Source organism: Homo sapiens, chromosome 16 (genome assembly GCF_000001405.40).
Source record: "Homo sapiens chromosome 16, GRCh38.p14 Primary Assembly".
Taxonomy (NCBI): Eukaryota; Metazoa; Chordata; class Mammalia; order Primates; family Hominidae; genus Homo; species Homo sapiens.
Window position 1 is genome coordinate 9498284 of NC_000016.10, and position 27691 is coordinate 9525974.

At 41.5% G+C, this 27691-nt stretch overlaps 1 long non-coding RNA gene across 2 annotated transcripts in view; it reads left to right on the forward strand.

Annotated features, from left to right (window-relative positions):
• Window positions 1–20042, forward strand: part of LOC101927026 (uncharacterized) — a 51795-nt gene extending 31753 nt beyond the window's left edge. Inside the window, exons 2-6 of one of the 2 annotated variants that reach the window (NR_188389.1) lie at window positions 3209–3328; window positions 3441–3504; window positions 16416–16495; window positions 18900–18970; window positions 19173–20042. This is a non-coding gene — a long non-coding RNA (uncharacterized LOC101927026). The remainder of the gene's footprint in view (window positions 1–3208; window positions 3329–3440; window positions 3505–16415; window positions 16496–18899; window positions 18971–19172) is intronic. The other variant, NR_188390.1, reaches the window with a different exon arrangement.
• Window positions 20043–27691: the final 7649 nt, after the last annotated feature.

The window sequence follows — 27691 nt, forward strand, 5'->3', positions numbered from 1 at the left end:
TGAAACAGTCTCTGCCTTAGCTAGTTCATCTGTTGCTTTTGCTATCTTAAGATTTCCTGGGATTTACTTATTTATTGATACACTGCCTTGTTCCAAAATGGACTGGAAGCCACTCGGATGCACTGGAAACTGCTTGCACCAGCCTTCAAAAACCAATTGTTACATCATTAGGAATTTTGTGAGTCAGTTTTAAAATCATCCCTAGTTTCAAATCAGCTATAGTGAGAGTATTTACACTGTGGGAATTGGCAAACGCTACACATTAGGGCTTTTACCTTTTCCTTGGAGAGGTGGTTCACCAGTGCAGCCCAACTGGAGAATCCTGCATTAACTATCCAGAGTCATTCTTAAGAATATGAGCTGTGAAATCAGACTCTTGGGGATTTGATATCTAGCTTTGGGGATAGCCAAAAAATGGGCTTTGGGGTTTACGTCTGCTGCTGTCATTTAGTAGCCACATGACCTTAGGCCAAGCCTTGCTAAGGCTCAGTTTCTTCAACTGCTAAGTGGGTATAGAGACTTCATAGGGCTATCCTGAGGTTGGAATAAAGTAAGTGCCCAGAGCTGCTTCTTGGTGTCAGGTTCAGCTCCTAGGTCTCGAAGAATTCCCAAAGAGCATCCGGATCTTGAAAGATGGCTGCTGTGTTGAGAAGGATTTACAGATCATACCCAAGGGTGTCAGGAACAGAGTTACCATTGATTAGCAATGTGTACCATAAATATGGGTGTCTTAGTCTGTTCTCATGCTGCTAATAAAGACATACCCCAAAACTGGGCAATTTCTAAAGGAAAAAGGTTTAATGGACTCACAATTTCACATGGCTGGGGAGACCTCGCAATCGTGGGGGAAAGCAAAGGAGAAGCAAAGGTGCCCGTCTTCCATGGTGGCAAGCAAAGAGCTTGTGCAGGGGAACTCCCCTTTATAAAACCATCAGATCTTGTGAGACTTAGTCACTACCACGAGAACAGTATGGGGGAACCACCCCCATGATTCAATTATCTCCACCTGGTCCTGCCCTTGAGACACAGGGATTATTACAATTCAAGGTGAGATTTGGATGGAGACATAGCCAAGCCATATCAATGGGTGTGAAATGTGTGAGAAGGAATGGTCTGGGACATGGACAGAGACATGGCAATAATAACTAACATTTAGCAAGCTCTTTTGATGTGCCAGACACTCTTCTAAATGATTTACAACATATAATATTAACTTGGTTAATTTTTCTAAGAACCCAATTAGCCAGTGGTTCGAAGTCAAGGGTGATTCCCACCTCCCTCCACCCCAGATATTTGGCAATTTCTGGAGACTTTTTTGGTTGACATGACTGGGGGTGGGTGGATAAGTGCTATTGACACCCAATGAATAGGCACTAGGGATACTGCTAAACAAATTACAATGCATAGGACAGGCCCCCCGAAAACAAGTATTATCTGGCTCCAAGTGTCAATAGTGCCAAGATTGAGAAACTCTGTAATAAAGTATCAAATACTATTATCTCCATTATATTGATGGGGCAACTGAGGCATAGAGAAGCTGAAGCGCTTTCTCTAGGTTATTCAAGCAGCAAATTACTGGTACTGGATTCAGACTGGTAGTGCATTCTCTTATCTACTACACAGCTTCTTGTATTAAGAAAGATGTCAGGGAGGAGGTAGAGGAAGAACAGGAATTCAGAGCAATATTTGGGAAATAAAGGGCAGTTGCAGCTACAGTGAGTTATTTCATCTTATTTCATTTTGCTTTGCTTGTACTGAAAGTGAGCTTTCCCTCCTTCTTTCCCTCCCCTAGGCTGGATGCTCTGACCCCTGCTGTGAGAGTTCAATCCCCTCTCAAATTTCATCTGGCATCGGGGTCCTCCTTCCAGCTGCTTCCTACTCTCTGCCCTCCCTCACTGCTGGCAGGTTGGGCCTGCCAGTATGATTTGCTCTGACATGCTGCTGTTGTCTACTTTGTCTGGGAAAGGGAAGGTGAAAGTTGCTACAGTTTCATGGATTCAAAATATCATTCTTGCTCTTCCTAATGAGGAAGGCAGGGCTGATGCCAGCTCTGGTGCCACTTGTAAAACTACAGCACTCAGGAGTAGCTCCTACTGGCCTCCAGTGCTCCTCAGTGGTAGTGTGGCTGGCTGTCAAGTGCCAAGTGGGTGAGGCAGCTGGCACCTTCAGAAACAGGGAGTGGGAGCCAGCCATTTCTGAGGGATGCTGTGAAACTCTGAGCCCTTGCTCTGGCCTGGGCTGCTGGGTGAACAGGGATTTATGAACAGTTTGATGTTTTCATTATGAATAGATGAGGATGAGGAAGAATGGTGTAAAAATTAAGCTGTGGAATCAGACTGCTTTGAAAGCTGTGTGATAGTTACCAAGGTGCCATGCCTCTCTGAGCCTCACATCTCACCTGTAAAATGGAGAGGGTTGTGAGGATTACAACTTATTAGATACAGACACGAACCTAGACATTGCCAAGATCTGAGAGGGCAGATAGTTTCCTTTCTTATGAATGAAACCAACTTCATTCTTTTCATAATAGCTGCTATGTTGGGGAGGATTCAGAGATCAGACCCAGGTTCATCAGGAGAGTGCCTAACTGATTAGTGATGTCTGTCATGGATGTAGGCATGGGGAGGGGAGGCTGATGCTTGATTGATTAGCGATGTCTGTCATGGATGTAGGTATGGGGAGGAGAGGCCTATGCTTGATTGATTAATGATGTCTGCTATGGATTTAGGCATGAGGAGGGGAGGTATGTGCATGACTGATTAGTGATGTCTGTCATGGATGTAGGCATAAGGGGTGGCTTGTTGTCTGATTAGTGATGTCTGTCACAGATGTAAGAATGGGGAGGGGAGGCATGTGCCTCATTGATTAGTGATGTCTGTCGTGGTTATAGGCATGGGAAGGGGAGGCAGGGGCAACCTGCTCTTTCCTCCCTAGGCTTGGCTGCATAGTAAATAGTCAGTGGAAACTGTATTTTTATTGCTGGTTATTTAAGTCACTGTTAAGTCAAAGTAAGAAATATTTCTTTGTTTGAAGGAGGCTAGAAATAAGTGAAGAAAGAAAAGTGGCTGATTTCTTTTAAATTGGTGGTTCCTAGTGCTCAAATGACTGTGCTGTCGAGGGGCTTTAACATGTTTTGAAAGCAGGTGATTGGAAGCCAAATGATTGGCTACAATTATCTCCATTGCTGATGCTTATTCTTGCTGCACAGGTTGGAATAAATGCAGATGCTGCAAATTGATGGAGGCCTGGTGTCTTCCAGAGTGGAGGTAAAGGCTGGCTGAGGAATCAGTGAGGCCAGGAAGAGGGCTCAGCTGAGCAACTGATCAAAGTGAGCTTCTTCTGTCAACAATTGATTTATGGGGAAGAGAGTTAAGATTAAGAGGAAAAAGTGAAAAATGCCTATAGTTACTGAATCTGAATTGGTTTTGTCTGCATTCCAGGCATCCCTCTTCAGGAAGGAGCTTCCTGTGTTTTCTCTGGGAACTCACCTGTTTTCCACTCCAGGTATGGGCCCCTGACTCAGGCAGGACTGGCAACAGAGATAGGTTAAAGGTGGTCACATGATTAAAGTCAATCAGAATTAGGTCCAGGAATTTTTCTGAAACTACTTGAAAAATAGTTATTTTCTTTTCATCAGCTTTGCTAAACTACAGCTATATCAGCGTAGAGTTGCTGAAGGCCATTTCTGTTAGTATGAGGGAGAGCCCACCTGAAAATGAAGCCAAAATAGAGCCAAGTGCAGATGGGAGATGGCAGGAAGCAGATCCCTGAGAACATAATTTGAGCATCTAGATCCAGCCATGCCTGCAGCTAATAACACCTGGGCTTTTGTGCATTTTTTGCCATGAGCAATTTATGATGAATTTTTTGGTCACTGAAAAAGGAGAGTCCTAATGGGTAGGTAATACCATATTCATGGTCAAAACAGTATTTTCTCAAAGTCAAATAAACTTTATTACATTTCTTACATTTGCTGGGAGGAAGAAGGTGAAAATTCGTGACAAATAAACAAAACTGAGGATAATTCTAGCATGAGAATGATAACTTCTGTAAACTGGATATCTGTTACTGAATAGGCTGGGGTCAGGAGATTTTTGGGGTGGGGGGGTTATCACTGGTTTTAACAATAACCTCACAGTGTGGTTGCTGTTTTACAACTGAAGAAATGAAGAATTACAGAATAAATTTCTTAGCAGAGAAAAAGAAAAGTATATAAATGAAGAATTAGTGTGTCATGCCCAAGATATGACAGCTGGTTAGGTTATCGGGCTTGGATTTGAGTCCAGGTCTGTCTGATGCTAGGACCCATGCTGTAATTACATGGTGTCTGGCTCCTTGGCAAACATGATAAGATGGAAGAGGAAGAGCAGAATCTGGGCTTACTATGAGCCAGGCACAGTGTTGGATGCCACACATGTATTATCTCTTGAGCAAAGTTGCACTCAGGCCACAGAGACTGAGGAAACAAAAGATTAAGAAAAGACAAATTTCACACCTGTAATCCCAGCACTTTAAGAGGCCGAGGCAGGTGGATCACAAGGTCAAGAGTTTGAGACCAGCCTGGCCATCCTAGTGAAACTTCGTCTCTACTAAAAAATACAAAGGTTAGCCAGGGGTGGTGGCGGGCACCCGTAGTCCCAGCTACTCAGGAGGCTGAGGCAGGAGAATTGCTTGAACCCAGGAGACGGAGGTTGCAGTGAGCCAAGATTGAGCCACTGCACTCCAGCCTGGGTGAAAGAGTGGGTCTCCATCTCAAAAAAAAAAAAAAAAAGAAAAAGAAAAATTAGTACAGAGGAAGCAGCAAAGCTGCTCACCCTGATGCATGGAGCTCCTTTTGCAACTTATATTAAAATAATTGATCAAATGCATATTATCAGCTGCTGGAATATACAGTGATAATGGCTGTCTCTACTTCACCACTTAATCTTGAGCCACCAAAGGGAGCTCCAAGGAAATCGATGGAGGATATTATTGCATGTTGTCACTCAAGCCATTCCTGTAGAGACTGAGGGGGAGGTGGGACAGGTAGTCACATTTCAAGCACATTTCAATATCAGTGGAGCAACTATCAACGTGCCAGAACTACTGATAATCTCCTGAGGTGCAGGCTGGCTAGAAAAACTCTGTTTTGTACTCTAGAAAGAGTCTGTCTCAGCAGTCACTCAAGATATATCCTTGACGATTAACATGCCACTCTTTAGTGTGCTGTTTGTCCTGGGCTTGAATGAAAGCTGGCATTTCTTCCTTGAGACCTTCATTAAGTACAAAGTAGTAGTCTTAAACTGCATGCAGGGACATTTTCACCTTTAACATCATCAATATTTAAAAATGTTTAACAATGAGAACATATCTGGCTCAATTAATCTCTTCAATTTCTATTTCTCACCTCTCTGTAGATTTAATTCAGAAGAGGGCTGCTGCTGCTGCTGACAGTAACGAACTATTAAGCACACTCACACTGCACTCTAAACCTTGCTAGGTCATCCATATACATTATTGCCTCATCTCTCAGGACCTTTGTTTATATATGTCCCTTGGCCTGGGCCTCCCTTGTCACTCCACTTCCTTCTAATTTCCCTTCCTCTGCATTTTCAGTGAATTTGTTTCTGTTCCTTCAAATTCCAGCCTGTTCTTCCCAGGTGAGCTCTTCTATTACACACTTTCTTAGTTCCTGGTTTTTCTCTTACAGACAGCCATGATCACCAGACATTCTAGCAGTATATCATTTTGTAATTACACAATTGCAATTATGTACATATTTTTATAATTGCTCATATGGTTACTTGACTAATGTCTAACCCTCCTCTTTAGGAGGTAAATTCCATGAGAATAAACATTTTGTGTTTTTTTTTTACTATTTTATTTCTAGGGCTTATCAAAGAGGCTGACACCTAGTAAGTTCTCTGTAAATATTTTACAACAGCCCTATGAAATAATCAGATATTAGTAGCCAAATATTAGAGATGTGGAAACTGAAGCCCCCAAAGTGTTAAATATTCTGCCAGGACCTGAATCCAGGCTGTTTCACACAAACTCTGCCTTAATTGTTATGCTATTCTGATGCCTTCTAGAAGTTGGTTTTCTCTTTAGCAGGGTTCAAAGAGATAAATGAGGATTGATGGTCCTGGAGAACTATTTAAATACATCTGAAAGTGTAATGCTTTTTCTCAGGTCTAATGATCATTATAGTATTAGGAGACTTTTCCTTTTATAATTCAAAGTCTGAACTCCTTAGATTAGTAACAAGACACTTCATAATTTAGTCCAGATTTCTCAAACTGACAGTTCACCAGAATCAACTGGAGATATTTAAAAAAATACAAAAGAAATTATGTCTGAGTTTTACCACGAATATATTCTGATTTAATTCGTCTTGGGTGGAAACAGGGCATTTTTATTTTTCTTAATGCTCCCCAGGTGATTCTAGTCTTCAGCAACCTCACCAGCCTCCTCTCCTGACCTGCCTGCCTCTACATTCACTTTTCCATTTTCCTTTCAACCTCTCTCCCGCCTACAAATAGTTTCCTTTTTTTTTTTTCCTTTTCTTTTCAAGACAGAGTCTTGCTTTGTCACCGAGGCTGGAGTGCGGTGGTGCAGTCTCAGCTTACCACAGCTTCCTCCTCCGAAGTTCAAGGGATTCTCCTGCCTCAGCCTTCCAAGTAGCTGGGATTACAGGCGCATGCCAACACGCCCAGCTAATTTTTGTATTTTTAGTAGAGATGGGGTTTCACCATGTTGGCCAGGCTGGTATCGAACTCCTGACCTTGGGATCTGCCCGCCTCAGCCTCCCAAAGTGCTGGGATTACAGGCGTGAGCCACCATGCCCGGCCTCCTACTAGTAGTTTCCTAAGAAGCTGTGTTTGCTTTTTCTCCCTCCATGGCTGCTAGTTTTCTCTCACAGTGTCCCCATGAACTCTCTGTGCCTATTTTCTTCATGGCACTCATCATACTGTATTTTTTTAAATTTAAATTTGGAGAAGAGGAGACTTTACTTATTATAAAGAGTTAGGGCCTGCAGAGTGGCCATTCTGACTGGCTGGGAAACATAGCCTCTAGCCAGAAGCCAGAAACAAACACTTCAAGGAAGGAGCAAAGGGAACAGGAATTGATGCCAAGTAGGATGGCCAAATAAACATATTCAATAAGCTGTAGAAGGAGTCATTCATGTTTATGAAAGGAGAAATGTGCACATAGGCAATTGAGCTTCTTGCTTCTCCATGTTCAAAACATGGCGGCAATCTGAAGGTGGAGTTTTGGCCCTCTGATGTCAGAAGATGAAACAAAGTCCATGAAAACCCTTACTGTGCATTCTCTGTAGACTGGCCAGGAAGTGCTACACACTTTTAAACAACCAGATCTCATGAGAACCCATTCACTCTCCCAAGAACAGCAAGGGGGATGTCCACCTCCATGATTCAATCACCTCTTACTAGGCCCTTCCTTCAACACATGGGGATTACAATTTTACATGAGATTTGGGTGGAGACACAGAGCCAAACCATAACAGGGTATAACAAGTGTGTCTGACCTTCCCATCCTATCATGGCTGATAACTCAGTTTTCAAATGGGGTCTCCTTGTCCAAGAGAAGATACACTCAGTTAGTTGAGGAGCTTAGAATTTTATTTTTAGTTCCTATTCTCCCCCTTTTGTCCAAGATCTGCCGGAGGCAGCATCAATGACTAAACTTCTATTTTCTTCCCTATCTTTGTGGGGTAGTGTGGCTGCTTGCCCTGGGTCCATCTTGTTCTTCAATGAGACTCCTATGGCCAAGGGAATTAGAGCCAAAGACTTACGGCCAATTAAACTTTCTACGACAGGCAGGAATGGAGGTGGGCAGAAACCCATCAACTCTTAAAACCTTTTAAGCAACATAAGAGCAAAAAAAACAAAGCCAAAAAGCCAGATTATGGAATTGACATATCCATAAATTCTATGTGTTGAGCTACTGTAATCTTGGTTTTAGTAACAGACTTGTAGTAATTAGGTATATGAAACATAAGCATTTTGCTAAAACCATTTAAGCTAAGGAATGTAGAGTTTTTTGTTGTGCCACGATGCATTTTACAGTCTCTTTAGCAATTTTTCCTAAGGTGGCCAAATTTTTAAAAATCATATCTCTATTTGCATAAACCCTATAACTGGGAACAACTGGTGACGAGAAGACTCTGTCACCAGGTATCTTAATATCCTGTTGGTAATTCTCTTTTAAGTTTATGGGAAATTTGTAGTTGGCATGGATGAAAATGGGCCACATAATGACCCAGGAGGCAAAGTACTTGAGTCTATTAGCTCTTTAGGCATCTGTGTGTCTGTCCTTGATTTGGAGGGTCTGAAGTAATTCTGTCCTTCAAAACCAACCCTTACAATGTCACCTGCCCACCTCTTCTGCAATAGCCCATGGTCCTAGAGAGAGGCACATTATATTTTAACCCAACACTTTATTATTCCAATTAAATGTTCTTAGTGTTGCCCAAGTGGACTGTGATCTACTTGAGGTCATGGTCTGGGTCTTATCCAATGTCGTACCCAAAAATGTCTACTATATAACAAATATTTGACACATGATAAGAAAAAGGAGTTGGTGATTTAATAAATAAATAAAATGTAAGGATGATTTTACACATTTTATATTTCTTACCATTTTCCCATTTGAAGTACATTTTCCAGAAGTCAAGAAATATCCTTATGTCCACTGAGACAAAAGATTTTAGTAAAGCAGCTCTGTCTAATCATTCAGTCAAACATGAGCCTCAATGCTAAGATCATCATCAATTTTTGGAAAGACTATTTTGGACTATGTGAAATTTTAAGAAGTACCTAACCTGGAGACATAATCAAGTCCAGTGGTTCTCGAACCAGCTGCCTATTGGAGTCATCTGGCAATGAGAGTGGTTACCATCTAACCAACTGGCATATACATTCACTGTAAGCCTACTATGTAGCATGGACTAAGAAATTTACTGTATTGTATAAGTTAACAGAGGAATTTCTCATTGTATAAACTCAGAAGTTCATTGTGTTCTGAGCTCTGAATATAACCTCTCCTCCTTTTTCTTACTTATCACGCATCATTCCACAGACTCATCCTAAAAACTGCAAATCACTCTCTTTGCAAAAGTTGGGGCAAACCCCATCACTATAAAATACTGTATTTTCTATTTTTTTCCTAATTGAGTATATCTCATCTCCTTATGGTAAGCCTATTCATTATGCCTTTTAATAAAGACCAAGAAAGAGAATAATAACTTTTTAAATTGACTTTTTCAATTACCATTTGGCATGCATGTTTTCATGCTGTTGTTTTGAGGATAAAAATGTTGATAGTGGAAATATATTATTGATTCCTGCCTGTTCTTCAGGCTCATGCACTATTGATTAAAGCCCTTCACAGCCTCAACCTTTGCTCCTGCATCCCAAGAGAGCAAATTTGTAGAGCTCCCAAGAACTAAAACTCTGGCTTGGAGATTTTGATATTTGGTGAGCCAGGAAGACTGGAGAAGATTAGAAAGTTCTTATCAGTAAATATGAGAGGCCTCAGTTGGGAGATGGAAGGAGAGCAGATTGAGCTGATGGTAAGGTCTTGGATACTAATGCAGTTAACTCCAGTTCAAAGATTGCCATTTTTTTTTCCTGCATGCATTTCTGTATATGGCTCTGGAGTGGTGGTGTGGATGCACAACTTAGCCCTCTCTGTTGCAAGTGGCAGAAACTCCACTCCAGCCAGCATAGGCAAAGCAATGGGGGCTTTCTTAGCTTAAGTGACTAGGGATAGCAGAGGTAGAGTAATTGGCTTTAGGGACAACTGGATCTGGAAATTTGAAGACACTTATCACTCTTCATTTTCTCCTTTCTTCTGTATTTTGATTTCACTTTCCATTTGAAATACATTTTCCAAAAACAGGTAGGCTTCTCCTAGTGGGCATTCTTCTTTCACAAGACTTTTAGATTCAATCCCTTCCTCTTCTTTCTTGTAATTGTATCCCTCACTCAAATCCCCAGGACCTCATGACTTATTGATTACATGAGCTTTTAAATTGGTGGCTTTGGGCCCAATTTCTTCCCCTTGCAAGATCACGTAGAAAGAACAATGCGAGGCTCAAGTTCTGGCATTGCTCACTAGTAGCTCTGAACTACTAAGAACCATTTAACCTCAGTGAGTTTTAGTTCTCCTCTCTGTCTTTGTCCACTTTATATGGCTCAGATGAGGATCAAATGGGAACACGTGTGTTGTAGACAGTACGTGGTGATGAAAACAAGGTGACTTTCTCACCCCTCCCAACAACTAGCCTGGATATTAGAAAAGAGTCAGCAAACCATGAAATTAATACACAATGGGTCAGGGTTAAGATAGAAAAAACAAATGAGCTCAAGTTCCTAGGCTGAGAGAGACTTAGTTGTAGTTGTTCATAGCTAAAGACAATGTGGTCTATAAAAAGAAGCACTGGTCAGGAAGAAACATGTGAAATAAAGAGTGTCCGAGAGATAATAAATTGTAGCACTGCTAATTCAGGGTAGAGTGTGTCTTTGTTGATGGACTTTGAGTATTAGGGCCCTGTGGGAAGGCTCTTATGGTGTGCAAATGGATGCAGTCAGTCTATCAGAGCCTGATCCCGTTACACATGGGGAATAATCCAATGGACCCATCCATGCTTGTTAATACTCAGTCCTGGTGAGGCTGAGATACAAGGAGTCTCACTTTCATGGGTAGCTGGTATGCAAGCACTGGTACATCTTTTCTGGAGGGACAATTTGCAGTGTGTATCAAGAGACTTGAAATGTTCATGCTTATGACCCAATGATGCCACTGCTGGGAATATGGTCACAAATGGGTGATACAGTTTTATATAGGGAATATTAATCACAGGGTCATTTGTAATAGCAAAAGGTTGACCATAGGGGAATAAGTAAATTTTTTGACCATAGGAGAATGAGTAAATTTTTTGGCCATAGGGGAATGAGTAAATTCATCATGGGGCCATCGTAAGAACAAATAATATTAATTTGGAGGATACAAAATGGCATGAGGAAATACTCATAAGTTACATCATCTAAAGATACCTTGCATAATTTTCGTCTAAAAACCCAAGTAGCCGTAATGTCAAGTGAGTAGGAGTAAGATATAGTACTTTGATATAATGTGATCCAAGATTTAATAGGTGACTTTCACTGTGGGTATTTAAACTGTTTGGTTCTGAAGATGACCCTCACCCAGGGCCAGATGCAGTGTGTTTGTGGACGTGTGTATGTGTAAAAATGGAAGGAAACAATAACTTATAAAAGTGAGTCAGATGTTTCCTGTTTTCTTGCCTTATGATCTCAGGCAGATTATCTAACAATACTGAGTCTCTGCTTTTTGTGTTTTAAATCTAAAATAGGGCTAGTAATACCTTCTCTCCAAGGTATCTAAGAATGGAATGAAATCGTGTATTTTTGAGTAACACAGTCCTTACAGATGTGGGTTCTGGAGTCAGACTATCTGGGTTGAAATTCTACCCCCACCACTTATTAGCCGTGGGATCTTAGAGAGGTGACATCACTTCTCTGTGGTGGATTGCTGCAGTAATGGCCTCAATACATCCAGACTTCTCTCTGCCCACACTCCTGGAAAGTACTTTTCTGCAATGTCTATGGAATGAGTCATGTGACTTGCTTTGCCAATGGGACAATGGCAAATGTGATGCAATGGAGACTGGAGAGGTGCTGTGCACTTGTCCCCTTGCTGCTTTGGGACCCTACTGCCATGTGAAGAAGCTCAGGTGAGCTGGCTGGAGGTGGAGAGAGACAGGTGTCTTGTCCTTGAGCCAACAGCCTATCCACAAGCTGAACACAGTTGCATGAGAGAGCCTGACTGAGATCAGCTGAGCTGGCCCCAGATCAGGAAAAACCCTCAATGGATTCACAGAATCATGAGTTAAATAAATGCTTGATTCTTTAAAATGTTATTTTAATTGACAAAAAGTAATTGTATATATTTATGGGGTATAATGTGATATTTTGATATGTGTATACATTATGGAATACTTAAGCTAATTAACATATCCACCACCTCATACTTATCCATTTTTTTTGTGGTGAGAACATTTTAAATCTACTCTTTTCACAATTTTGAAATATACAATACATTATTATTAACTATAGTCACCATGTTGTGCAATAGATCTTTAAAACGTATTCCTCCTGTCTAACTGAAATTTGTGCCCTTAGAGAGAGGAACAGTGATTGCCAGAGGCTAGGAGGCTGGGGTGGGAAATGGGGAAATGCTTGATTTGTTTTGAGCCACTATAGTCTGGGGGTGTTTGTTACTCGGAATAGATAACTGATACACTGTCTATGCCCCATTTTTTCTCATATAAAAAATGGCACCTACTCTACAAGATCGCTGTTAGAGTTAAATGAGATAGTATGTGCACAGTACCTAGAAGAGGGCTGACACATGGTGCATAAAATATTCTACCATGGCATGAAGCACGTAGTGTTTGGGGTGTTTAGTAGGCACTCAATGAGTGTTAATTATTTCCCTCTTCTCTAGAATGTGCTCATTGATGAATTGAACAGAAGTTCCAGTTAACGAGGAGGTGGAGGTTGCAGTGATCCAAGATCACTCCATTGTACTCATGTCTAAGCAATAAGCGTGAAACTCCGTCTCAAAAAAAAAAAAAAAAAAGTTCAAGTTAAATCACAGACTGATTTTCTACTAAGAGAAATCCATGGGATTTCCACCAACTATGTTTAACTCAATCTGAAAGTGTCCCTCGTCTTCTGGCAAGACCCTTGAATCAAGCTGTTGAAGAGACTCTGGTGTGATCAATGCCCACCCAGCTCTTTCTGATCCCACCCTCAGAGACAGCTGAATGATTTGTGTACAATCACTTTGAACATCTGGGCAGGAGGACTCTGAGATGCACAAGGGGACATGTTTGTCTTTTTCTAAAAGCTAAGTTGTTCTGGGAGGGCATTGACAATGAGCAAGAAAGATATTTTTCAACAACAGAAGATAAGGCAAGATACCTATCTCAAGTTTAGGGGTAGTTGATAGGCAAGATGCACAGTTCTCTTTGTCTGAGCATGTCTTGGTGTAGGCAGAGGGAAAGAATGACCACTGAGAAGACCTGACAGATGCGTAACTACTTGGCTAGCACACAAGGGAAAATTTACAACATCTTCTGTTTATTTGGTGGTTGTAAAATCCCCCGTTTCAGTGATTTAGAGTCATTGTTTTGCCGAGAGGTTCTTTTTTCCAGTCAGGTATGATGAAGTCTCCCAAGGAAAAAAAGATTGTTCATAAACCTGGCCTACAAAGGGCGGTGTGAGGAAGAGGACAAAAGCCACCGTCCTCCCTCATGAAAGATGGTCTCTGATCAAATTCAGCTGGACAGCTGGGAGGGCAAAGAGCCTGGAGGTTAAGAGCATTTTCTTCGAAGTCTGCCAAATCTGCATTGGAGGGCTGGCTCTGCCCTTCACTGGCTTTATGACCTTGGGCGAATTATTTAACAATTCTAAGCCTTAGTCTCCACCTTTGTAGAGTGGGGAAAGCAGTCATTTCAGTCAACCTGGATGTTGTGAAGACGAAATAAGATAAAAAATGAGAAGTGTTTAGCATGGCTCCTAACAAAGAGTTAGTGCTCAATAAATGACATCTAATGCTATTGCTATTATATCAAACAACTATTGCTTGTCTATGGTATACCAGCCCTGTGCTAGACATTGAGGGATGAAAAACAGAAATAAGGTGCAACATTTGTCTTAGGAGGTTGGCAAACTTTCTATAAAGGGTCAGAGAGCAAATATTGTAGGCTTTGTGTACCCAAAGTTTTCTGTTACAACTACTTCACTCTGCCATTGCAGGAGAAAAGCAGCCTTAAACAATAAAGAAATGAGCATGGCTGTATTTCAGTAAAACTTGATTTATAAAAGCAGGTGGTAGGCTAGATTTGTCCTGTTCACTGTAGTTTGTGTCAACCCCTGTCCTAGCGAATTGCACAGTTGGGAGTGTCTCTGGCTATACCTCATGGAAAATCTTACTACATGAAGTCTTGATAGGCAGATACTGGTGTTGGTTCGGTGGACCAAAGATGTCAACCAGCATTTTCATGGTTCTCTCTGTATTTCTTTCATGCTTGTCAACCTAATCACATCCACGTTAAAGGTAAGAAGAAGGAGAGAAGGGGTAGGGCCAATGGAGGAATACTGTTTTGTTAAGAGAGAAAAGACTTTCTTGAGACCTCTTTGTAGATTTCTGCTTGTGCCTCAGTAGCTGAGCTGTGTTATGTGGTCACTCCTAGCTGCAATGGAAGCTGCGGGGGAGAACATTTGTCATCTGTGTCGTTTATAGTGTAAATGAGCAGAAAAGAAGGGGATGAGAATGAGTGCTAGGTCAGATAACCATAGTATCTGTCACACCATTAAGTAATGTTACACTATTGAAAGAGACACACATGGAGAATTACAATACAGAGTGCTAAATAATTTCATATACACCCACAAATGTAATAGGGACTGAAAAGGGAAAATTTAATTCCCTGTTAGAGTTCAGAATATCATTACAATGCATTCATTATTAAGGCTATTTGAGCATGGAAATGCAGGTGTGTAAATACAGACTAACACACTTGACAAGCAAAATGAATCATAGAAAGATTTGAGAATTATCATGGTGGATCAATTACTGCTTAAAAGTATCCACTCTCTCCCTCCCACCTTCATGCTCGCTGCTCACTAGACTGATGGGACCAATGTTGAGTTTGACCATGTGGCTTGCTGACATCATGATAGGCTATGTGCACTTTTCTGCTTCTTGACTTTGGACTCAGCATGTGGCTTGGCCAATGAGATCGTAGCCGTAATGATGTAAGCAGAGAAGCTTGAAATGCATTTGGAAGAGGCGCTTCCTTTCAGTCACTGCTGGACCTTCCACTTGGGCTCCAGAATGGACACACCTGGAGCAGATTTGCACCAAACCTACAGTGAGCAGCCAAGCCCAGCTGGTCCCAGGCTGGAATACAAGCTGCTCGGCTGAGCTTAGCTAACTCCCATCCAACCTAACAGAAACATGAGTGAGAATAAATGATTGTTATTTTAAATTACTGAGTTCAGGATGGCTTGTTACACAGCAATAGCTAACTGATACAAACACATACTGTAAAAGTGCATGTGTTCAAAACCCACAAATTCAGAACCTATGTTGACAGGATGGGTTATTCATTTTTAAATAAAATATGATAAATTTCAACACAATGTAGTATGTTTAAAAATGCAAGTGAAGACAAAATATGGAGCTATAATAAGGGAGAGGACTATTGATTCTATGGAGGAAGGGAGGAAGAACTAGCAGGGACATAAGGCTTCTTGGAGGAGAGGAGCATCTGAATTGCCATTTTAAAGTTCAGTAGAAGATCACCGACAGAGAGAAATAGGGAGAGAGTGGGAACAGAAGGATTAATATTATGTACAGTTTCGAGGCAAAAAGGGGCACACTAAATGTGGGGAACCATTAGCAATTCAATATTACCAGAAGGTTAGTGGTGAGGGACAATGTGTCTAAAATCTCTTGAGAGGGTCTGCTATGCGAGGCCAAGGCACTTTTCTTTTGCCTAACCATAAGGACAATGGAGAGCAATGTAGATCACTGGCATGTTTTAATGTATTCAAATTAGTAATAATTCTATTGGTAACAGCTAACATTTATTGAGTGCTTACTAGGTGCAAAACACTGGGTCACGTATATGTATTCTTCACAACACTAAAAGACAGGTATTATTATTATTCCCATTTAACAGATGAGGAAACTGAGGCCTAGAGAGGTAAAACAACTTGTCCAAAGTCACAGAGTAACTGTCAGAGTGAGGATTTGACCAAAACTGCTCAACTCCGGATTCTTCCTCCCCAACCACTGCTGTTCCTGATTCTCTATATAGCAGATTGAGGAGTTGGCCAAGTCACTCAGGAAATTATTCAACAAACATATTGGAACGCATATTCCTAATGTTACAATTTCAACATACTTTATAGACTCTTGTTACATGGAAGTCACTGCGCCAGTCAATGAAGACTTCAAGTATGAAGAGGACTTGATCTTTGCCGTTAAGAAATTTGAGTGACAGAAAATCAATGCTTAGTGCCAACAACTTTTGTCTGTTCATTAAAGTAGGTTCTATGAGGCAGTGGCTCTATGAGGCAGTGGCTCCTGAGCTTGGCTCTGGGTCAAAGTACCTGAGTAACGGAGTTAAAAAAATTTTTTTTAATACAAAGCTTCCAGGTACCATCCCAGATCAACTGGAAAAAGATCTCTAGGGTGGGGATCTTGGAAACCCCTCTCCCTTCCTCTCTCCTGTTCTTTCTCTCTCTTTCTTTGCACTTCCTAGGTCATTCCATAGTCTCTGTGAAAGTGATATTATCCCTGTTGGTCCTCCTCAGACTCTCCAAGATATGCAGAGCTTTGGGCCAGGATCCTACAGCCACGGGTCATGCAGAGCCAGTTGGCCACATCCTTTGGGGTGAGTGATGCCTAGAAGCTAATTATAATTCCAAAAGGTCTCCACTGAATTCTAAGAACTGCCCATCTGTACCCTCTTTCCTGGACTTTATTTCTTTGAAGACATCCACTTGCCTTAGGCCACTGTAAAATTTACGTTGTAACCTTCAGTGTAATACTCTTCCCAGACTCATTTGTGGCATCTTCAGCCATTTCGAGTCAAAAGTGTTCACCAGAGGAGCGATAGTGGCAGAAGTTACATCTATAGTGAAATGAACAAATAGACTGAGCTGTACTCAAATTGAGGTTTACCAAAGCTTGTTGGCCAATGGAGAACCAGCTCTCTCTGGAAGGGAGTGAGAGATAGTCACTCTGCCATTCTCTGGTTGAACATAGAGAGGGGAAAAAAATCACTTGTGCACACTTTCTGTTCAGGACTGTAGTGGGCGTGAAAGTATATTCTTTTTTTAATACTGAAACATTTCTGGTGTAAGAAGCTTTGTAATCAATCAGTATTGTCTAAGATAGTTCTAAATGAGGCAAGTCAGTCCATAAAAATAAATTGTGTTTTCTTAAGAACGGTCTTAACTCACCTGTCAGTTTAGATAAACCTCTGCTCAAAAAGTTGAAGTTGAGAAAATTTTCCTGTTATTTTACCAGCTTTGTGATTGTAGATACTGTAGTGGGCTGACTGGGGTTCCCCTGCTCCCCTTCCAAATATGTCCATGAGCTAATTCCTTGAATCTGGAACCCCTGAATAGGACTTTATTTGAAAAAAAGTGTCTTTGCAGATGTCGTGCAATTCAGGATTGTGAGAGGGAGTTTATTCTGCATCCTAGACCATTTTGTGATGATATAACAGAATACTTGAGACTGGGTAATTTATAAGGAATAGAGATTTATTTCTTACAGTTCTCAGACTTCTCAAAGTCCGAAGTTGAGAGGCCCACATCTGCTGAGGTTATTTTTGCTGTGTTATCCCATGGCAAAAAGAAGAAGAGCAAGAGAGTATGAGAGACAGACAGAGAGAGAAAGGAAAGAGAACTGAACTCATCCTTTTTATTAGGAACCCACTTTCTTGATAATAACTAACTCACTCCTGTGATAATTGCATTAATTCATCCATGAGGACAGAGCCCTCATAAACTCATCATCTCTTAAACGTCCTCTTTCTCAACACTGCTGCATTGGGGATTGAGTTTCCAACACATGAACTTTGGGGGACATGTTCAAACCATAGTATCCTGAATTTTCTGGGTGGTACCTAAATCTAATAATCGGTGTCCTTGTAAGAGTGAGGCAGAGGGAGATTAGACACACAGAAAGAGATCATGTGACCACGGAGGCAGAGATTGGAGTAATGTAGCCACAAGCCAAGGAACTCTGACGGCTTCCAGAAGCCAGAAAAGGTAAAGAATGGATTATTCCCTAGAGCCCCTGGAGGAAGTGTGGCCTTGCCAACACCTCAATTCTGGCTTCCAGGACTATGAGGAGACAAATTTCCTGTTGTTTTAAGCCACCCAGTCTGTAGTAATGTGTTATAGTCGTCGCAAAAGACAAATAGAAGAACTAAAGTTTTTCTCTCATGTACAGACCAGAAAGGGCTGATTTTAGACAAATAAAGCATGTTTGGGAAATCTTGGCGGGGAGTGGGGACCCACCTGTGGGGGTGATCAGTGCTTGTTGGCTAGGGTTCTGAGCCTCAATGGCTGGAGTGGGCCCCCACGTGGGGTGCAGGCTCATTAGCTCTTCTGGGCTCCCCCTTTTTTGTAGCCATCAATTTTGGAGCCCTGGGAGCATTTTTGCTGCTTTCTCAAATAGGAATGCAAGTAAGGCAATTTGATTTTGCCTTGATATTTACATCCACAGTTAGGCCTGATTTCTGCTGATGCAATGAAAAAACCTCTGAACTCACATCTGTATCCATGGGAGGACGGTTTTAGCTCAGGTCCAACTGTGTGAGCCTGTACTCAGTAAAGTTTAACACAACTTTGCTGAATGTCTATTCTATTCCAGTCCCCGTACTGAGCCCTGGGGCTACCAAGGTGAGTAAGTCACTGTTTCCCAACCTCAAGAACTCACAATCCAGTGACTGGAATAATAATTCAGTGTAATATGGTACATTTTAAGCACTTTTGTGGATATATGGTATGTAGGTAATTGCACTTGTGGTTGTGTATGTGTGTCTGTGTGCCCATGTGCGTGTGTACTTGTTAATGTGGTAGTGCATATCTGCTTGTTTGTGTATGAATGTGTGCCCACTTGGTGTGCAGATGTATGTGTGTTTGGTTTTGTCCACACAAGTGTGTCTATATCTATGTACAATTTGCATGTGCATTTTCAAGGTTGAATGTTTTATTTATCTTTAAGAAAGGTTTTGCAGTCTGCCCAAAAGTGATTGCATTTCTTTTTTTTTTTTCCTTTAGCCAAATTTGGTCCTAACCAGGTCTTACCACGGTAACTGCTAACCAGTCCATCTTCAGTTAATATTTCATGCGTAAGATGTTTCATGAAGTAACTGAATGGGCTAATGGGTTGTTCACTGGATAAGACTCCCAGATACTCCCTTTCATGCCATTCCCCAGAATTCCTTCACCTCCCAGTGCTGTCTGTAAGGGTGAAGATACTCCATTTTGCCCCATGCTCTTTGCTGTGCCCCAGATAGGCTCAAACATTTTTCCCTTTTGGGGATTTTGCAGGTAGGAATTGTTGAACATCTTACCATTTAATCCAGAAGTTATGTCCTTTAAGGAATCGACCCTGAGCCTGTGAGTTTTACTTTGGGTTGGGGGTGAAGGAGTGGACCTTGCAGCATTCAAGGTCATCCAAGATCATCCAGTTAAGGCCCCTAAGGTCACTACGGGGGGAAAAGCCTGGTGAGGGAAGAGAAAGCATTAGGGGGAGCTGCACCGTGCTGAGAAATAACACCACACAGAAGTCTGTGTTCTAATCTCAGCTCTGCTTTGCATTACTGTGTGACCTGGAGCTGATCACAGCCCTCTGAGTCTTAAAGGGGTTGGACAAGGCCAACTAAACATTAGAAACACCTGAAAGTGCTGGTTAAAAGGAAGAATGCATGAGCTTCACTCCAGATTTACTATATCAGAATTTCCAGGGTCAGGGTCCAAGAATCTGCATGTTTAATACGCTTTCCACATGATTTTTCCCCCCTCTGGACTTAAGAAAACAATGGGCAAGTCAGCTCATGAAGAACTTTTCAGATATTCAGACTATTATTCTGAGAGAGAAAATATTGGCAGAGAACAGATGGGATTTTTCTCAAGGAAAAGAAATGGAAATCCTACATCTTGCAAGAAATAGAAAAAAATAAATAAACTGTTTGAAGAAGAATCACATCAGGCTGGCAGGAGAGAGCCTGCGGCTCGGTGTCTGACCCAGAATGTTAAAGCCAGCCTGGCTTGGCTCCAGGATAAAGGACACTCTGTCAGCCTCTCCACATTGATTCATCTCCCCAGCCCCAAGATCAGGAGAGCATTCTGTTCCTTGAAGCATTTTATGACTGTAAGTCAGAAGTGCTGCAGTTTTAATAAAAAGCTGTATTGTCCTGATCTTGTGCAATATACTGAACTATCATTTTCCAACTGTTGGCTTGCATACTGGTTTGTGTGAGTAAGCCCGTCCATCCACATCACTAAAAGATAGTAGTAGTAACAACAATGACATTTATTGAGCATTTATCATATGCCAGATGCTAGGTCTAGCCTTTTATAGGAATTAACCCTATTAATCCTTGCAGCAATTCTTTGAGATAGATGCGATTGTTTTCCCCATTTCAAGGATAAGAAAGCTGAGGCCCAGAGAGGTTAAGCAACTTGACCAAGGTGACACAGCATAGGGCCCCTGCTAGCCTGTAAGAGCCTGTGTGCAAATTGAAACTGGTGTCCCCTTTTGAATTAGAACAAGATGCCCTTTCTGGCAGATACAGCTATACCAGCATACAACTTGGCAAGTGGTTTTCATAGTTATACAAGGAAGAAGCAGCCCCTTCCTCCAGATTGGCTTGCATAGCTTAGCAAATACAAGGCAATCTGTATTTCAGCTCCAACTCATCTCCTTAAATGGTGGGAGGGAAATGTATGCAGTGCAAAACCTGCAAAACCATACCAAGTAGCTCTACTACCACTACTAGGTGATGCGGCTGGGATTTTATCCTAAGCGGTCTGACTCCAGAACCTACATTCTGCCCATAACTAATTACATTCCTTGGCAATATGTAAAAATAATACATACTTTTCTTTCTTTTTATAAAAGAAAGATGTATGAGAGCCCACTGAGTGATCAGATGGGAGTACTCATAGCTCAGTCCCGGGTGATGGATCACTCAGCAGCACACTGCTGGCTGCTAGAGAGTTTTTGATTATTGTCATTTAAAATTATTTTTTTCTCAATCACATATTTTCAAAGGCATACCCACAATGGACTGTTGGTTTAAAATTGGGTAGAAAAGGAATCCTGAAGTTGAACTACACATCACAGAGAAGCATGATAATTGTTCAAAAGAGGCTCAAGATAGTCCTTCCCCATTTCCATAGACAGTGTCCTTCTGATCAGAATTCTTATTTGGTGCATCTGGCATTCCAAAATGAAAGTTAAAAAGATAAACTTGTTAAGACCTCTTGAAACTCAACAGTAAAGAAACAAAAACTCCAATTAAAAAATAGGCAAAAGACATGCAGAGATATTTCACCTAAGAGGATGTACAGATGGCATATAAGCACATGACAAAATGCTAACATCATAAGACAGTGGGAAAATGCAAATTAAAACCATAATGATATTTCACTACACACTTGTCAGAATGGCTAAAATAAAAAATAGTGATAACATCAAATGCTGGTAAGGATGCAGAGAAACTGGATGGCTCATATGTTGCCAATGGGAATGCAAAATGGATTGGAAAATAGCTTGGCACTTTCTTATAAATGAAACATATGCTCACCATAGAACCCTGCCAGTGTAACATAAGCAATTGTTACATAGAAATAAGAACTTAGGTGTATAGAAAAGCCTGTCCACCAGTGTTCCTAGAAGCTTTATTTATGATATTCCCAAACCGGAAACAACTCAAGTGTTCGTCAATGAATGAATGACTGGGTGACTAACGGACTGTGGTACATCCATAGCATGGAATATTACTCCACAATAAAAACGAAGGAACTGTGGAAATGCTCAGCAAATTAAATGGATCACTAGAGGATAAAGTTGAGTGAAAAAAAGCCAGTCTCAAAAGGTTCCATATTGTATGGCTCCATTTATATAATATTCTTGAAATAAAATTATAGAGGTGGAAAACAGATTGGGGATTGGCAGGGGGCGGGGATCACAGGCAGCTATAGAGGGAGAACACTAGGGAGACTTGTGGTGAAGAAGCAATGCTGGGTTTCGATTGTAGTCGTCATTAAGCAAATCTACACACGTGATGAAATTACACAGAAACACAGGAACACATGCAAATGAGTGCATATAAAATAGGCGAAACCTGTATAGGCTCTGTGGATTGCATCAATGTCAGTTTCTTGGCTAAGAATTGTGCTAAGTTTATGCAAGATGCTTGTGGGAGAAACTAGGCGAAGGATGCCTGGATATCTATCTGTCTGTCTGTCTGTCTATCTATCTATCTATCTATCTATCTATCTATCTATCTATCTATCTATGTGTCAATCTATCTGTCATCTATCTGTCTGACTGTTTTTCTTTTCCTTTTTCTCTTTTTTTGAGACGGAGTCTTGCTCTATCGCCCAGGCTGGAGTGCAGTGGTGCAATCTTGGCTCGCTGCAACCTCTGCCTCCTGGGTTCAAGCAATTCTTTTGCCTCAGCCTCCTGAGTAGCTGGGATTACAGGTGCCCACCACCACACCTGGCTAATTTTTGTATTTTTAGTAGAGACGGGGTTTCACCATCTTGGCCAGGCTGGTCTTGAACTCCTGACCTTGTGATCCATTGGCCTAAGCCTCCCAAAGTGCTGGGATTACAGGCGTGAGCCACTGTGCCCAGCTATCTATCTATCTATCTATCTATCTATCTATCTATCTATCTATCTGTCTATCATCATCTGACTATCTATCATCTGTCTATCTGTCTATCTATCTATCTATCTATCTATATCATCTATCTGTCTAACTGTTTATCTATCTGTTAACATCTATCTATATTTGGTTATTTCCCATTAACCTATAACTATGTCAGAATACAAAAATTTAAAAATACAATTATTTTAAAATAAATGTTTATGTATTATTAGGCTACAAGGAATTTGTAATGCAATATACAAATTGTGCAAATACTGTAATAATAATAACAAATAATGTTGGGAAGTGAGAAAAAGGGAAATTGTAATCACAATTTTATCTGATTCAGTTTTCCATATGCTAAGAACAAATATGGTCCACACCCAAATGTGGGAAGAGGGGTCCAAGTCCTTGTCTCATGTCTCTTTGTTTAGAAATGACACCTGTGCTGGAGAAATCCTCACACATATGCATAAGAAAACATGTATGAAGATGCTAGTAGCTACACAGTTTACAGGAGTGAAAAATCGGGAGCAAACTAAATGTCCATCAACCTTTTATGGGGTTCCAATTTGTGGACTACTAGGTAGCAGTTAGAAAGGATAAAGAAGATATTCGTATATGTGCATAAGCTTATATATGAGCTTGTGTGTAAGCATGTGGAAGACCTCTTTGAGTGAAATAGAAGCATTATATTTTTGAGTAAACAAAAGTAATTTACAAAATAATACGTTCTTCTTTGCCACTGTATGATGAAAGAAAAAAAACCCTGAAATAATACATTCTACATGTAAAGATATGCATATATAATTGTATATTTTTATATAATACAGCATTATATATGCATAGTTTTTATATAAGAAAAAGAGGAAAGACACACAAATATGTATATGTTTTTGTAAATGAAGAGGAAAATGATGTAGAAGGATGTACTCCAAACTGACAGTACATGTGCAATGATTTGGTTAACTGCTTCCCAAGTATTGAGCTACCCGCCTTACCAACTATGTTATTCAGTCCTTAGAACAACCCAGGAAGTAAGCACTGCTACTGTAAAATTCCATTTTCCAATATGGCATCATAAGTTGGGAAGTAGCTTCTGTAAAATTCCATTTTCCAATATGGCGTCATAAGCTGGGAAGTAGCTTGCCCAAGGCCACAGGTCTGAGCTGGGAGTTTACTCCATCTGTCTGATTTCCAAGCCAGTGCAAAGATCTCTCCATGCTGACCTTGGATTCTTCCATTGAATCCACCAGGAATGATCAGTCCAGGCATCTGAGAGAAAATGACTCATTGCTGGAGACTGTGGCTAACAGTAAAGCAGAGCTGAAAGAATGGCCCCAGTGGAGGAGCTAAGTGGGAGTCAGGCCTGCGAGCCTCCAAGGCCTTCCTTTCACTGTGAACTTAGCTCAAGGCTATTATACATCAGGCGACTGTCTGCTCAGTGAAAGCAAATGACAGCACAGAGCTATCACTGTCTAGCTTCCCTGCTGTGGCTGTGACATTGATGATAATCCCTTAGCGGGGAGACGGAACCCCATTCATCTCCTCTCTGAAGCATGGCTCTCCCGATGGAAGGGAAGTGTCTGGTGATGGGAAGAAGACAGTTTGGAGGGAGGCAAAAAAGGAGAGGTCTCTGCTGAATGCTGCAGTGGAAGTGGCACCCACTCCTAACCTGGGAATTAGGTGGGAACATGTGTGTGGGAGAGGAAAGGAAACTAACACTGGCTGGGTGCCCCTCCCACATTGTGAGCACAAACTCAGCCATTATTTTTCTCTACGGTTGAGGAGCCAGAACATCAAAGAGCTTAGGTGATTTTGATTTTTAAATTAAAATAACAAAACCTTGCACTTTTCTTTTTTATCTCAGCGTCACTATCTCCTCACATGGAAGCCTTCCCAGATCTCTCTGCCCCGGGACATGTTTCTCTGTGATAGGCTTTCTCGGCATTGTGGACTCTTTGTTGCACTTTCCCCACCTGGAATGATAATTGAATAATTAGCAATGCAGCTTGTGATTTGATCTCTTTTTCCCTCTCTGGAATGTGAGCTTCACGAAGGCAGAGGCCAAGTTTGTGCCAATTAGCAAGTCTGTGTTATCCAACACACTGCATGTAGCAGGTGCCCAAAAAACATGGATACATGCATTGCATATTAAAAATAAAACAAAGTTTTCACGGTATTACAGCTATAATGAATATAATAGAATATTTAGTGATTCAGGATCTTGCTGCATTTATTCACTTAACTCCTTTTTATCTTATTTATCTCCTAAGATATACATGGTTCTTGGGAATACGGCATGACAAAGCAGACATCATTCTTCAAAGATAAAGTCTTCAAAGATAAAGCTCTCTGTCCAGGGTGGAAAGGCCTCACAATGGAGCTTTGTGAGCCAAAACCTGATACAAATGTTGTACAAGGGGCTGGGCACAGTAACTCGTGCCTGTAATCCCAGCACTTTGGGAGGCTGAGGCGGGCAGATTACCTGAGCTCAGGAGTTCGGACCAGCCTGGCCAACAGGGCGAAACCCCATCTCTACTAAAAATACAAAAGATTAGCTGGGCATGCTGGTGCATGCCTGTAGTCCCAGCTACTGAGGCAGGAGAATTGCTTGAACCCGGGAGGTGGAGGTTGCAGTGAGCTGAGAGATTGCACCATTGCACTCCAGCCTTGGGCAACAGAGCAAGACTCCATCTCAAAAAAAAAAAAAAAAAAAAAGTTGTACAAGGTAGGTCTATTGGTCGCTGAGGCTGGCGCCGGGATCAGCATCCATTTGTAGCCATTCTAAAGGCTTCCAGGGAAGCCAGGTGTATATTCTACTACTCTCTTGATACCTAATTATCAGGATATTTCACTAGCACCTCAAAGTCCCCTTCAAGGGATCCTGTCTGGCACCATGAAAAAATCCTCAAGTTGAACTCAGAAAAGAATTGGGTTTCTGTCCAGCCTCCCCATCTTAGTGCTACGTGACCTTGGGGAAGTCACTCAGAACCTCTAAGCCTTACTTTTTTCATTAGGAAGGAGTTGATTCCCACTTCACAGAGTTTTTGTGATGATTGGCTAAGATAATACCCATTATGCACTGCGTGGTGAGCCCATGAGACCTGCTCTGTAGAACTGGGATTGCCTTCTCCTCTCTTTTCTCATTGTGTTCTCCCATTAAGGGCCCTTGTGCATTTTTGGGCCTCAGGGAAAACCTTGGGCATTCTGTTGCCTCCAAGGCAGATAAGTAAACTCAACTCTAACGAAACTTCTGGGATTTCTAATAGAATTCATTCCTTGATCAACACTCGCTTCGGCTTGGAGAAACCGACAAACCCAATACATTAATCTGGCTGTTATTCTACTTTCTCCACCCCAAGGAGACCACTTTTTCCTTAAAGATAAAGAATCGCTTTGCAACTTGAATACTTGAATGCGTACAAACGGTGTTTGCCTCCCTCCCTCCCTCTCTCCGTTCCTCCCCACCTTCCTTCATTCCTCCCTCCCTCCCTCCCCTCCCTCCCTTCCTCCCCACCTTCCTTCATTCCTCCCTCCCTTCCTCCCTTCCTTCCTTCCTTTTCCTTCCTTCCTTCCATTCCTTCCTCTCCTCCTTTTTATTGTCTCTCTCTGAGCTTGTTCCTTATATTCTGGCTTTACATTATCTTCATAATCATCATCATTACCATTGTCATCATCATCATTTGCCTTTCCATTAGATACATTTTTCAGGGAGTTGCATGACCTGACTTAATACTCTTTTCAAAAGGCTCATCCAGATGAACCTGCTGGTGCATTTTAAATTTCCTCCCTTTGTATTCCTAAGTGTTTATAAGAAGAAAACAAGTTACCGCTAAGAAGAAAAAGAAAAGAAGAATATGCCTTTTACAGACTCATGGACAGAAAAGCCTACTTGGCCTCTCCCCTGGGATGTCTGACAGGCATCTCAAGACCAGAGGGCCCCAAACTATACCACTGTATACCTGCTTTCCTGTATCCTTTCCATCTTTGATGGTAAGCTGTCATTCCAGTTGCTTGGACTCATTCTCGATTTCACTGTTTCTTTCTACCCATATCCAGTCTATCAGCTGTTGGCTCTACTTTGAAACATACCCAGAATCCAACCAGTTTTCACTATTTCCACCACTCCCACTGTGTTTTCATCCACCATTATCTGCCATCCATTCCTACAAATTCTCCCAAATGGTTTCCCTCCTTCTTTCTCAGCCTTCCCCTTTGTGGTCTGTTTTCAACACAGCAACCTGAGCATAAGTCAAATCACATCTTCCTTAATATCTTTCCTTTGCATAAAACCTTTTAATGTTGCCCCGATTCACTCAGTGTAAAAATCTAGTTTCTTACAACATCTGGCACCTCATTCTCACCTTGACCCCATTTCCCAGTCTCTCCCACTCATCTTCTCTGCTCCAACCGCACTGGCTTCCTTGTTATTCCTCGAACGTACCAGATATGCTTTCACTGTAAGACCTTGGCCAGACTGTCTGGAATGCTCTTCCTCCAAGTACCACTTGGCTCACTCCTTCCTCCCTCAGGTTGCTGTGCAAATGTCATCTTCTGAATGAAATCCACCTCACTACCCTGTTTCATATTGCAAACTGCCTCTGTGGCTGGCACTGCTTATCACCCACATCCTGCTGCACCTCTTCTTGCTTCTACAGCACTTATCCCACTACTAAGTGATTGATTTATTTACCTATGATGTGATTGTCAACTGTGTGTCTCCCCCTGCTAGAATGTAAGCTTTCCAAGGGCAGGGATCTTTGTTTTGCTTTCCATGTACACAAAGCACTTTAGGACAACGTCTGGCACATAGTAGGCACTCAATGCACATTTTTTAAAATGAACAAATGAAAAAATCATGTCTCATCAGATGCAGGAGTTGGGAGACTAGAAATGCATCATTCATTCATTCATTTATTCAACACATATCTATGAATCTCTACTGTGTGTTAGGCACTATGACGGTTGCTGGGATTTTAATGGTTGACAACACCAGATGTGTTTCATGTTCTCGTGGAAACAGAAGTAACAAAATACTCCCTGGGGAATTTTAATTGTGATCAGTGCTATTAAGGAGAGGCCCATGTGTTGGAGGCCATCCTAGGGGATTTGGGCTTGTTATAAAGAGTCAGAAGTTTTCACTACGGAAAGGATACTTGAGCTGAATTATGAAGGGTGAGGAGAGCT